Source organism: Homo sapiens, chromosome 14 (assembly GCF_000001405.40).
Source record: "Homo sapiens chromosome 14, GRCh38.p14 Primary Assembly".
NCBI classification, from domain to species: Eukaryota; Metazoa; Chordata; class Mammalia; order Primates; family Hominidae; genus Homo; species Homo sapiens.
Genome location: NC_000014.9, coordinates 26902312 through 26917606, shown reverse-complemented (window position 1 = coordinate 26917606; position 15295 = coordinate 26902312). Strand labels below are relative to the sequence as shown.

Below are 15295 nucleotides of genomic sequence, written 5' to 3'. Positions count from 1 at the left end.
CCACTGCACTCCAGCCTGGGTGACAGAGTGAGACTCCATTTCAAAAAAATATATATAACTATATATATATATATATATAACTAGATAGATAGATAGATAGATAGATAGATAGATAGATAGATAGATAGATAGGTAGATAGTAAGTAATCTGGCCTTTATTATTTCTGTACTTTTCTTTGTCAAAAATACCCTTCACTTCCCTTAATAATCTTCTCAGGGAAAGCACTTGTTGTTCTATTTATATGTCTCCAGGGGGCGATAAAGCAAGTCATCAAATCTCTGCAAATGACTCAAGGGCTCCAGTGCAATAAGGGGATCAATGTTCCCAAAGCTGTTGGACATCAGATGCCTGTTTAGTTTGGCAGATTAAATGGCTAGTACTTTTCCTTCAGTCAATTTACTGGAAGCCCCTCCCTTTCTTACTCTTTCCTCTCTTCTCATACACATAAGCTCCCTAGGGGTTCACAGTACTTTCAAACATTTTTTAAATGTTCATTTTGTTCTGTTATTAACAGAGCTTTTTATTCTAGCATACAAGCGTTTCATAATTTCCCTTCTTAAAAAACAACTCTCATGTTTCAGGAAACTATTCTGTAGTATATCTCCTGGGATAAATTTTAATACTTAAGTGCAATTTTTGAAAATCACTTTGATATATTATTAGTTTTATTAATATGACTTAACTTCCTTCTCATTAGTAAGGATTCAAGTTTCCTATCTCCTCGATGAAATCATGTGATGTGTTTTCAGTGCAGTCCATTTTGTAGTCAATTCACCTAATGAATACTGTAGAAATTTAGAATGAAAAAAAAAAAAGGAGATTAGAAGCTCAAAGGGATGCAACTCTGAATCTGATTCTAAAATCTCTTTGAAAAGACACAAGAAATAGAACAGGAAAAACAATGTTGGAAAGGAAAAATGAAGTGGGAAGAATGATGCTATCTGATTTTAGGACTTAGCATAATGCTATAGTAATCAAGATATTGTGGTATTGGTGAAAAGATAGACACATAGATCAATGAAATGAAGTCAAGAAACAGACCTACACGAATATGTCCAATTGATTTCTGACAAAGGTGCAAAAACTATTCAATAGAGAATGAATTTTGTCAATAAATAATGTTAGAACAATTGGACAACCATATGCAAAAAAAAAGAATCTCAACCTAAAGCTCTTTCCATATACAAAAAAAAAAACTCAAAAATGGATCAGATCTAAATATGAAATGTAATACTTCAAACTTCTAGGAGAAGGCATAGAAGAAAATCATTATAATCTATGGTTAGGTAAAGAGCTCTTAAAGATGACACAAAAACACATCACATAAAAGAAAAGGAATTGATAAATGGGTTTTATGAAAATTAAAAATGTTTCCCTCATTAATGGCCCTAGTAAGAAAATTAAAAGACAAGCTATAGAGAAGAAAAATATACTTTGAAAGCATATATCTAACCAAGAGTTTGTTAGAAAATATATATACTCACTACACTTTTTACTGGAAGGAAACAATTGACTAAAAAATGGGCAAAAGACTTGAACAGACACGTCACTAAAGAGGATATATGGATAGAAAATAAACACATGAAAAGATGTTCAATGTAAGAACATCAATTTAATGTCATTGGAGAAATGCAAATTATAACTGAAGTGAGATTCCACTACTAGATTTATAAGAATGACTAAAGTATACTGATAGTATTAAATGCTGATGAGAATGAAAAGCAATCGGAACTCTTATAATTGGCTGCTAGGAATGCAAAATGTTTTGAGTACTTTTTTTTACAAAGTAATTAATGATGTGCAGTCTTGTGCTTTTTCTCTTTTAGCTTGAACTGACATTTGAATTGTTTGTATTTTCTTTAAAATGAGAAGCAGAACTATCGCATTGACCTTCTTTATGTGGCCTTTAGTACCTAATAAAGTATAATTCTTTAACTCATATATTTGCTGATATTATTTTTATTTCATGTGATTGGTAACAACCAATAGTTTTAATGTCTAGAACCAACATCATGAACTTGCTTTCTGACTGGATAAAAATATAAAACTTGTCTGTGTACTTAAGTTTATAGTTGTTGGATTCTAAAAATAAAAGGAGTTTGGTGTTTTTGTGTTGTCATTTTTTTTTTTGTCTTACTAAAATAAGTGCCCTATGTGGCTAAATTAATTGGCTTGTAATCTTGAAGCATTCATCTTAAAATAAAATTGTGGGGTATAGATTATTTTAAATCTACAGGTAAACTCTGCATCAGGGTTCCCCAACCCCCGGGCCATTGACCAGTACCAGTGCATAGCCCGTACGGCTTAGGAACCAAGCCATACAGCAGAAGGTGAGCAGTGGGTAAGTGAGCAAAGCTTCATCTGTATTACAGCAGCTCCCCATCACTGGCATTACCACCTGAGCTCCGCCTCCTGTCAGATCAGTGGCAGCATTAGATGCTCATTGGAGCATGAACCCTATTGTGAATTGTGCATGTGAGGGATCTAGGTTGCCTGCTCTTTATGAGAATCTAATGCCTGATGATCTGTCACTGTCTCCCATCATCCCAGATGGGACCATCTAGTTGCAGGAAAACAAGCTCAGGGGTCCCACTTATAGTGAGTTGTATAATTATTTCATTATATATTACAATGTAATAATAATAGAAAGAAAGTACACAATAAATGTAATGCATTTGAATCCTGAAACCATCCCCCATCCTCACCCCAGAATGTGGAAAAGTTGCCTTCCACAAAACCAGTCCCTGGTGCTGAAAAGTTTGGAGAACCACTGCTCTGCATGACCATGCTTTCCAAGGAGACCAAAAAGAAAAACATAGATTAAAAGATCGCATTGCTATAAATTAACTATGCAAAGATTAGTATATCCTTTCATTTTGCTTTAATGCTACTTTTGTCCACACTTTAGATGACAGAATGGCATCAATCTTATGAGAGTTAATACGAAAGTTACTGCCTGGAGATACTATCTCTTAAATGTTGCCCAGAGCAGAATTTCCTCTTTAATTCATCAGACTCCAGACTCAGGGTCATAAAATAAGTACCATAAAGCGCCTTTGAGACCCTCCAATTGTCAACAGACTTCCCTAGAACCATTCATACCCACAGGTGATAGATTTCTTGTCCTTTTTCTGTTTTGCTTGGCTCTTGACTTTACAAATAATTTCCTGTTAACAGCTTTGTCTCCCACTTTGGAAATGATGTTTCCTGTGTCTTCTGTGGCCTTGACTTCTGGCTTCCCTTCTTGACCTAAGAATGATATATACCCTTTTAGTTACTCTGTCTATAGCTTCTCTGAGTAGACATTTCAGCTGGTGTATTCTGGACCAGGAAGGCTACACTTTCAGCAAAACTTCTCAATCAGCTTTATTATTTAACTTGCTCTGAATCTACTGTAGTATTTTATAATGCATGAAGTTTCCATTTCTATTATTCATTTATATTATTATCATTATTCATAATAACTAGCTAAGATTCTCAGAACAAAAATAATCATTTCTGTATAAAATATAAGAAAACTGAGGCTTAGAGAAGTAAAGCACCCTGACTAAACTTTCAGTAATTTCCTGAAGGGTTTAGAGCTCCTACTGAGGCTTGCTGATTCCACTTCCAATGCTATTTTCACAGATCCACACTAAATCTGATTTATCTCCTGGAAGAATGAAACCATAAACAAAAACAGCTGTTTCTTAAAGTTTCTTTTTTTTTTAACTAACAAATTCTAAAATTTCTAACAGTGGTCTTATGTACTTACTTTCTCTTTTTAAATATAAATATTTAATAGCTATAAATATGTCCTATACCCTGCTCTATCCCCAAGAAATATATGACTAGGCCTACAAAAATCAGGTAGTAGTCTAATAGGAAAATTTAATACACTCAGGCTCTTATTTCTCCTCCATTCTTATTAATTTTGCATGAAATGTGCCAATAAATTAACTCTTAGTATCCACTGGTTGTAAGATATGCTGATGCATATGTTTTCTTAGTTTTATGGAGAAATAAGGAATCGTCTAGCATAGAGAGAGTCAAGGAAAGAGGAAAATACTAAGTAAAGTTAAGAGCAGTGCCTAGTTTTCAGGAGAAATTATATATGAATTAAATTTACATAAATATACTTGACTCAAATTTTAAAATTATTCCTTTCTATCCTGTTTCATTTAGTAGAACATGCTTATTAATCATCTATAAGGATATAAGGTACAGTATATCATCTGTGAATATTCCAAAGCTTCTGAACCTTAGTAAAAAACACAGATTTAATCACAGAATTGCCAAGGTGGCATTGCTATTTGAATATCTGGCATGCCGTTTATACTGTATAAAGAACATACACATAGTAAGTAAACATAAATGCTAGCTACTATGATAATTGCTAGCATCATGAAATGAGGTTGATAATATCAGAGAGAGAAATAATTGAACTCACGTATGTATGCATAGTGGTTATAATGATGTGTATATCCTGCTCATTAAATAGCCCAAAGTTTTCTAATTTCTTTATGTTAGTCTGACAATAACAATCCTATTGAAAGCATTCTTAGGTGTAATTCTTTTTTAATTTCTGTCCCCTGGTTAATTTTAATTTTTATTATTTATTGTTTAATATGTAAGAAATATTTATCTCATAAAATATATTATTGTTTGGCTGGCCAATGTATTGAGTATTAATCTTGTTTTGTTTTTTGTGTTTTAACATTTTACTCAAGTTTCTTGTTAACGGTCTCAAATATTTTTTGAATGATACTTTTTTTGCTTCAGATTTGTGTTCAATACCATAAGAGATTTGCTTGTGTTCTGAAGTGAATTCTCCCTTTTTGTAGTGTGTATATATATATATATATATATATATATATGTATGTGTATATATAAAACATATATGTATATATATTTGCATATATACAAACATGTAGAATTGTAATCTATAGAGAGAAAATTGTTATTTATATATATACATATATATATATAAAGACATGTAGAATTGTAGTTCAGGTATTGTTCATTGTCTTTTTCTTTTCTTTTGTACAGATATCATGTGATTTTTGGATATAATAGATATAATAATTAGAATACTGGCAAAATAACAGACAACTTCTTATTCCTCAATGGGACTAGTTTTGGTTCTTTATTAAGCTTGACGTTTTGAAATACAAACATATAAAGACCAATCTCTTTCTTTAAGAAACCGTATTCTTTACCCTGTATTCTAAAATAGTTCCAATCTATATTCAGATAGTATCGCTACTCTTTCCAGCTTACTGCTAGTGAGATTTCTTATTTCAAACATCTTAACAGTTCAGCATGTGTACTTTCTTTGGGGAACCTTGTCTATCCCACCCCTAAGTTATGATTTTATTTTTTACATAGAAAAACCACTGACCTTAGTATTTTGCAAAGGCTTTCATATTATTTTCATTTACCACAAAATTATTATATCTTTTAGAAATGAATATTTAAAATTTTGTCAAAAATGTCACATCAAGAATAGAACAATGAAGTAGCAAGAGCAGTGCCACATTTCCAAAGACCTTGATCTCCAGGAGATGTCTCAAAACAGGGAACAAGTACCTAGAACAAGGTCAGTTACACCACGGATATTCCATAAGTGCCTCTGGATAAATGAAAGGATGAGAAAATGAATAGCTATTTAAAGTGGACTTAAAGCAGGCCATATTCTACATCAGTGCAGGGTGTTCTTGATTACCTTTTGGCTCACTCAGATCTTAGAAGATATAAAAATCCTCAGTGGGTCATTTTTCATATTCAGCTAAGTAACTTAGTAATAATAATCATGTTAACACTTCCTTGCTGTAACTCCTATCTCAGAGCCACCTCATCTGAGGCAAAAAGGAATAGTAGGAACAGTGGAAGTGGTACAGTTGCAACAATATCTTTCAAGATCATTACAATCCCAATCACCAGCCCTTCCAGAGAATAAACTGTCAGCTTTCCCATCTAATAATTAGTCTTTGCAGTCATATTGTTAGGTAAAGAGGTCGAAGCAACATCAATCTGTTCTCTACAACTTATTCACAGTTAGACTGATACAGATAGGTAATTGAGAAAAAAAGTCCATATATAAAACAACAGATGTTCTCAAACAAGCAAGCTTAAATTTGTATACTAAGACAAAAACCTAAACACAACATTTTTGAGTCCTGCTTCTTAATTTTAATCTTACAAGTTAATAAATTAATGAGTAACTCATAACTGGGGGATTCTATATTGCCATCCATTCTTTTGCCCAAATCAGGAATTTGCAACCAACTTATGATGGCATGTCGTTTTAATGCAAGGAGTTGATTGTGTCCTAAGCTGTATATTTGGCATCTGTGCAGTTCTTTCTTGGTGCCATCTTGAAGCTATTCACTTTTCTTCTAAGAATGTGAAAACTATATGATGAGTTTCTTATCCAAATTATGCAAAAAATCACAGCCTTTTCTTTCTTTCTTCTTATATATGATTTTATATTAAACAGTTTTCTTTTAGTTCAAAACATTTTTATACTTTATATGTTTTTACCTATTTTTCCAAAGATACTACCTAAATATTTTAGTCAGTTTTAGCCCTTATTGTTTTACTTCCCAACTCATATTAGTAAGAAATTGATATTTATTGAATACTTGTGGCTTTTAAGAGACTTTTGTTTGGTATTTCAATTTTGATCAATGTTTTTTATTATATGACATGTTAATCTTATTTAAAAACTTGGAACTCCTACATTGCAGTTCAAAGACTAATGACATTATCCCCATTTAACCAATGTGCATCAAGTAATCCTTCATGCCAGGAATTATTCGACGTCCTCAGCTCACAGTTGTGAGCATTACAGAAAACAAGATTACATTTTAACACAGGAATACAAACAACAAAAAATAATAAAAACTTAAATAAATGAGAAAACATTGGATTAGAATTAAGTGCAAGGGAGATAATTAAATTAAGATGCTGTGATTGAGAATGACGAGTAGATACTTCATACTCAATGGTCAGGGAAAAACTTTTCTGAGGAGATAACAATGAAGCTGAGACCTAAATTTTTAAAAAATGTTTTGTGCTAATGCTGTAAGTTCTTCTCGTCTTTATATCACTTTTTTGGCATTGTTACTCATCTAGGATTTTATGATTAATGTTGTCACTGTTATTATTATTCACTTTTCAAATTCACATAAATTTTACTTTTTGATGTACCACCCTGTCAAATTTGATAAATGCTTACAGTCATATAAAACCATGACCACAATCAAACTGCAAAATAGTTCATCACCCCCCAAATAACCCCTGTTGCTGCACTTTATAGTCAACACCTCCTGCCCGCCCAGCCCATAGCAAACACTAATGTGCTTTCCGTTCCTATATTTTACTTTTCCAGAATGTCATTAGATAGAAACATACCATATAAAATTTTTTCTCTCTGCCTCTTGTTACTTAGCACATGCATTTGAGATTCATCCATGTTGTGTGTATATTATTAATCAGGTTTTTCTATTGCTGACTAGTATTTCATTGGATGTATATGTCACTATTTATCCATTAACCAATGAAGGATGTTTAGGTTTTCCCAGTTTTTGACAATAATAAATAAGACCATTATAAACCTTTCCATACAAGTTTTTGTATGAACCTAAGTCTTCATTTACCTTGGTTAAATACTGTGAGTAGGATTACTGAGTCATGGGCTTATGTTTAACTTTATAAGAAATTTCTAATTTATTTTCACAAATGGTATATCACGTTTATTCTTGCAAACAACCTATGGTATCTCATGGTTTCAATTAGTATTTCCCTAATGACTACTGATTTTGAGACTCTTATTATGCATATTTATCATCCATATATGTTTGGTGAAATACCTGTCAAATCCTTTCCTCATTTTCTATTTGGTTGTTTGTTTTCTTAAAATTAGTCTTATTAAGGGTGGGTGCACACCTATAATCCCAGCACTTTAGGAGACCGAGGTGGGCAAATCAATTGAGCCTAGGAATTCTAGACCAGCCTGAGGAACACAGCAAAACCCCATCTCTACAGAAAATACAAAAAATTAGCTGGGCATGGTGGCACACGCCTATAGTCCCAGACACTTGAGAGGCTGAGGTAGGAGGATCACCTGAGCCAGGAAGTTGAGGCTGCAGTGAGCCAAAATGGTGCCACTGTATTCCAGCCTGGGTTACAACGTGAGACTCTGTCTCAAAAATATATATATTCATATTAAGTATTTCAGATTCTTTTTACATTGTAAATACAAGTCTGTATTAGTTACCTGTTTTGCACATATTAATCCAGTCTGCAGTTTCTTTCTTTTCTTAACATTGTGTTTGCAGAACAAATACTCTTGTTTTTATAAAATAAAATTTATCAAAGTTTCTTGTGTTCTTTTGTTGTCATATTTAAAAAATATATTTAACAAGACCATCTATTGAGAAAAGAGGGTTCACATACTCTCCAATAAAGTACTTATATTATTAAGAAAAAGTTCAAGTGCCTATCTGAGAGGGAAATTTTCATCTTTGTAGATGATTGCTAGAAAAATGTTCTACCTATATTTTCATATCTCAAGTTAAGCTAAGACAGCCAACCACTTGTCAAAAATGAGGTTTACTGTAAAGAAGAAAGAATTGTAAAATTGGTATATACTTTGAAAAGTAAAGTACACCAACCTTTTCATTCAAATCTAATAAATGTATCTAAGTAAACTATTTAAAACTTTTCAACAGATGCAGAAAAAAAAAAAAAAGCCTTCCTAGAGCTTTCTTTATCTGAGTAAAAGTAGAAACTTATGGGAAATAAGGCTGCTATAAATTGCACTTCAGGGTAGATCTAATCCCAGAAGGGAAAATGTAAATAAAACCTACCTCAAACCCCTTCTCCAGGGGAGTATTATGGCCCTGAAGGAAACAGGAAAAAACATTCATAACTATATAGACAAACATTATCACAAACTTTATCTCCTGTTTTTTCTTCTGAAAGCCCATTTATCTTTCCAAAAAGTCATCTGTTTTCCCTAGGTGCCTTTCTCTCTCTCCCTTTCACCTATTAAAATTGTATTATCTATAAGCTCCAAATTCTAATTACTTCTTTTGAGTCACTCATCATTGAGTTCTTCCATGTATATGGGTGCCGCAAGCACAAATAAATTCTATTGTTTTCTGCTGTGTATAATATGGGCTAAATTTATTGGTTGGGTTTTGGAGGCTATCTAGAAGAATGTCAGCAAACTATTTCCATATGGTAGAGCAGGTGGAAAAACATGTATGTACACATGCATATCCAGAAAGAACAACAATAAAAAAGCCCTCTGCTGATCAAAAATATTCTAATAAACTCAATATACATACAATAAAAATAATACAAGTAAAAAGATAATAAAGCATAACAATTATTTACATAGCATGTACATTGTATTAAGTATTGTAAGTATTCTAGAGAGGATTTAAAGTATACGGGAGGATATTGATAAGTTACATGTAAGTAATATGCCATTTTAAATCAGGGACTTGAGCATTCATGGATTCTGTTTTAGTGGGAGTGATCCTGGAACCAATTATCTCCAGGGATAATGAGGGACAACTGGATAGCTTTTCCATCACCCACGCAGATGTAAATAACCACAAGATCATCAATAGCATTAAAATATGGTGGAATAATTAGAAAGTAATGAATATTGAGTATATATTGCATGTTTTTATTATAATATATGGAAGATATGGAAGTATAGATTTATTTTGTAGATTTTTTAAAAACTGATATGTGCATTTAAAACCTGTCTTGCAAAATTCCTAAAAATTTAATAGCTGGCTTTTAATAGACCGTAGAAGGCAGCTCCAGCACACCACTGGTCTTATGCCTTTGGAAGCTTCCCACAGCAGAAAATAAAGCCTGAGAGTGCAACAAAGCTGAGCTTATTCTAACTCCATATCTTGGTTAGCCATAAAGAGGAAAAAATAACTATAAAACAATGACAGATCTCCTTACTCTACTGGTAGTAAATTTCTGTATGCTGTACTGAACTCTTTATTGCCAGGCAAAATTCTATGTCAGTTCCAGCAGCAAACAAGACCAATGAAACCCCTGCTCTCATGGATTTACATTTCAGTAGCCCATTTTTGTTGCCCCATGACACATTCCTTTTCTTTTAATTTGTGGATTTAGAACCTGGAGCTTCTTCTTGGCTCCTTGGACAAAACCATGTTTATTCTTGGGATATACCCTATCAACTCTGATTTCTCTTTAAAGATGTACTCATTCTCCTTTACTGGGAATTCTCCATTTTTGTGGCCTCTCACTACCTCCTTTCTTTCTTTTTTTTTATCATTAATTTGTTCTTATAATTTTGTTTTTGTTACTTAAAAAAAAGACTGTGAGAAAACATTGACAAGTGTATTTTCTGTTCATCTTAAACCAGAAAATATTATCTGATAATTTGAAATCAGATTGTTAATCTAAATAGAATGAATTTAAAAAGTTCTATTTTTTTTTTTTTTTTATGGGAGTTTTGCTATTGTTGCCCAGGCTGGAGTGCAATGGTATGATCTCAACTCATTGCAACCTCCGCTTCCCAGGTTCAAGCAATTCTCCTGCCTCAGCCTCCCAAGTAGCTGGGATTACAGGCATGTGCCACCATGCCTGGGTAATTTTGTATTTATTTTTATTTTTATTTTTTAGTAGAGTCAGGGTTTCTCCATGTTGGTCAGGCTGATCTCGAACTCCCGACCTCAGGTGTTCCGCCCGCCTCAGCCTCCGAAAGTGCTTGGATTACAGGCGTGAGCCACTGCGCCCAGCCAGTTCAATCCATTTCTGAAAGTATCGTGGAAGCCTGGAAGATTTATTTAGTGGCCCTTCAGATTAACGTATTAATTTTTTAAAATAAACATAAGATAAAAGAAATATAACATCAGAGTGAAAGGAAAATTGGGACCTCATTGAGTACAATTATTCCATAGCCTCTCTATAATTGGCCAAAATACACATACATTTTTGTGACATACTTAGTTCTAAGATTTTATAAATTTCTATTAACGTCCTAAAAAATCCAATAGATGTAAAAGTTGAGCAAACTGTCTTTGAGATCCATCCAGCTAGAATTTTTTTCTGTCTTTAACCATTTTGTGGAATATATTCTTATATTTATATTTTATCATTTATATTTATATTTATATTTATATATAAATATATTTATATTTATATATATATATAAATATATTTATATATTTATATATCATTTTATATTTATATTTACAAATTTATAGTTTTCATGTGTTTTTAAACTGGGTGAATGTTTATTGTTTGGGAAATAAGAACTCTACATGTTAAAACTTAAGTTTAACTTAGAAGCAATTCAGTTAACGCTATTAAGTTTTAAGCATGTATTGATTTCGTGTTTTCATCTCAGAATGTTGTGATGCATTAAATCTGCAATTACAATAAAAAAGGCATGAGTTCAATTCCTTTAATCTGTAAAGTTGAAATGTTTTATTTAATCTATTTTAGGGTAGAAATTCAACTGGGATCCATCAAAGCATAAATTTTGTTTGATTAAAAAGCTTATGTATTGACAATTAAGCATTAAAAATATTCACTCTTTTGCATCTCATTCTAAATGAAAATAGTGACTTTTGTAATGCATTGATCAAGGAAAGCTGGATAATTTACATCTTTGAGTGATATTATTTTACACTATCTTTCTGCTTTTTAATATCTTACTGTCTACTATCACCTTTAAATCATTGTTGATGATTATAGCACAGATCAGTTCTACTTCCTTTAAGTTTCATCTGAAATGCTGAAGTTATCAGATCAAGATGGCAATGAGTAAACTGATACTGTTAGAGGTTTGTATTTGGTCCAATCTGCACATATAAATATATATATATATATATATCTGCACATATATATATATATATATATAAAAAACCAACCTATATAGGTTGTATATAGTACAAACTGTTTTAAAAGCTTTTCCTAGGACTCTTTTCAAAAAGTTGTTTAAACAAATAAAATCAAGAAGAAAATAAAATATGCTATACAACTATTTATGGAGAGTATATATTTTTAGTTTGACTTCATATTGTCAACATAGATATACTCTATGACCAGTTCATTTCTCTCCTTGCTACATTTTCTTTTTTATATAATTAGTTCTTGTCTTCTTGTGCTTTCTGAATATCGCTGCTGTATAGAGACACCTGCTGGGAAATAAATGAACAGAAGAAAATTCAAACCTGTGCTTAGAAACAAGAAAAGCTTCTCTCTTATACAGTTTAAGCAAGCTTTCCTCTAATAACGTATTTTGTATCAGAGCATACATGCCTTTGAAATATATGAAAATCTACCTATATCTGGAGCTTTGCTATTAATCTTAAAATCTCTACCTCGGCATGAGGTTTCCAGAATCTACATATAGGTACGCTTGCGGTATAAAATAGGTATGTAATACAAGACAGTTGTAAATCTATTTCAACTAAGTCATTTAAGTGTTCACATGTATCTTTAAAAATTTTTACACATAATTATTTTCCAGTGATTAGGGCTTCTCTTATTCATATTTTTACATCTTAATTTTTATTTAAAACATTTGCTAAAGCAAGGCAAACTTTTATTATTGATTGGTTTAATGTAAATATTTGCATTAACAAAAATTGTCTTTTGAAAGTTTGTTTACATGAGTATCTGTTTACATAAACCTTTGTGTTCAATTTCAATCTAAGTTGCAAATGGCAAGATTTCATTATTTTTTACGGTTGAATAATATCTCATTGTGTATATGTACCGTACTTTCTTTATCCATTCATCTGTTGGTAGATACTTAGGGTGATTCCGTATGTTGGCTATTGTGAACAGTGCTGCAATAAACATGGCAGTGCAGATATCTCTTCAATAGACTAATTTTCTTTATTATGGATATATACCCAGCAGTGGGATTGCTGGATTATATGATAGTATTATTTTGCGATTTGTAAGGAACCTCCATACTATTCTCCATAGTGGCTATATTAATTTACATTCCCACCAACAGTGTACAAGGATTCCCCTTTCTCCATATCCCGGCCAGCATCCATTATTACCTATCTCTTTGAAAAAAGCCACTTTAACTAGTGTAAGATGATAGATCATTATAGTTTTGAATTTCATTTCTCTTTTGAGTGAGTTTCCCAATTGTAAACCAGCAGATCAACAACATTGAAAATTAAATGTAAAAATACATTTAATTGATAGTTTAATAACAAACCATCAATTAGGTATTTCAATTGTGTTCCAAACTCTGGGTCAAGCTTAACTTCTTCAGAATTACGCTGATTTCTCATGTATTATAATAAGATGATAAGTCTTGAAGATGATATGAGCATATCTGAGTCCTTAAATAGTTTTAATAATTTCATTTATGTGCTTTGCTGAATGAATATCAAATAGCAGGGCAAGATTACAGGCAGGTCTTGAAGTGCAGTTACTACAGCAGTTCTCAAGTGATATTCACCATAATTCAGCTGAACATAGACCAGTCATGTGTGGAGAATGGATGAGAGCAGGATTTCCAAGCACCTGCTCTCTGCTCCCAACCAGACAGGAAAAATACAGTACATGGTGACAAACTGATATCAGGCCTCCAAACATGTGGCAAAGATGCTGACAATTGCTAAGAAGCCAACCAAACATATTATGATTAAAGATGGGGTGAACACAGCATAATATCAGAGGAGAAGAAGAGAATTCACTTTGAGAAATTACAGTCATGTAAAAAGAAAATTCACTTTATACTTAATATTAAATGACCTTAAAAATTCAGATTGTCCTATTCAGATCAAATATATAAACCAATTCCAGGATCTCAATAGCATCTTGAAAGAGAGAATAATTTATAGCGTAAGAACACAGACTCTGGAATCAAACAAAATAGAGTTCATTCCAGTGAACTTAGAGTCTCCAGTGCTAAGCAGCTGACACAAGGTCTTTAACCACTCTAAATAGAATTTTCCTTATTAACACAAAAGATATATTAATGGTACTACTGGGATGATTGACAGTAAATAAGATAATGCATATAAAGTGCTTACTAGAATACTTGGTAAGGGTAAGCATTCAACTAATAGTGACATTTTAATGCTGAACATCAGCCACAGGGGAGATTTCATTAAATCATTGTACAATTATTTCTACTAGTTTTGTGGGATTATAATGACATTATTATTTATATTCTTTGGAGAAAGAGAATATTATTTATATTCTTTGGAGAAACAGAATCTTAAATGTTGGCTTTTTGAACATTATCAAATCAGTTGGAAAAATCAGATTGAGGGATATACCACAAAAATACAAGTTTTAACTAGACTGACATTACATACTTTATGTATTATTTTCAAATATTTCCAATAAAATTCAAAACAACATTATGCCAATATACATACTATCAAAAGGAAAATACTGCCTTAATTATGAATTTTTTGAATTGTGCTTCTGTCTCACCATTGATATTTAAATGACTCCTCTTGGGCCTGTTCTCCTGGTCTACCCCCCAGGTATTTAGAATAGTATTGCATGGCTAGTAATAAAAGTCCAACACAAAATATTCAAGGTAATTTTAGTTCAGATTTTAAAACAATTTGAGATGCACCACAATGTAAATCAGAATATTATTGTTTGTTACAGGACTTGAGATTGAAAAAGTAAGCTATTACTTTTAATAGCTGAGTAAAAAGAAGAGTGACAATTGAGCAATTACAAATTGGAGGCTCCACATAACATCGACAGTATTTATTATCTCTTCTTGTAAGGAAACAAAGACAGTTTTGCAGAGATTTTGGGTTTGTTTTTGCTTTGTATGTGATTGGAATATATGTTGGCCATAGAGAGAAGAGGAATTTGGTAAAATAGAAGAATTTACTCTCAGAAATATTGACATTCTTGTTTTGTTTGATATTCTTCTTAGAAATAGGTGAAAAAAACATAAATAATGCATATGATTCACCAAGGCACTAATTTAAACTTTTCACAATATAATATCAATGACTATGTTTGAATGTTTCATAAACTCTTTACTATAAGTAATGGTATTATAAAGGTATCTTAAGGAAGATAGATGATAGATAGATACATACATACATACATATATACCTACATACATAGAATATGTACACATAAAGATATAGACAAAATAAAAATAAGTAAATGCAGTGTAACCAATTGGCATTGTTTGATTATCTGGGAAAGTAAAAGATGGTAAAAGATATGTGTGATAAAAATGAAGAAGGAGAATAAACCAGAATTTAATAAATTTAATAGGAGGATAACAGTTTTGGAAAA

General features: G+C 31.9%; 1 long non-coding RNA gene and 1 other non-coding gene across 2 annotated transcripts in view; both read right to left on the bottom strand.

The window, feature by feature from the left end:
• Positions 1-2863: 2863 nt before the first annotated feature.
• Positions 2864-15295, bottom strand: part of MIR4307HG (MIR4307 host gene) — a 41611-nt gene continuing 29179 nt past the window's right edge. Inside the window, exon 4 of the long non-coding RNA NR_110041.1 lies at positions 2864-3250. This is a non-coding gene — a long non-coding RNA (MIR4307 host gene). The remainder of the gene's footprint in view (positions 3251-15295) is intronic.
• MIR4307 (microRNA 4307) lies at positions 8882-8965 on the bottom strand. The gene has a single exon (NR_036193.1). It is a non-coding gene; the product is annotated as a microRNA 4307 (primary transcript).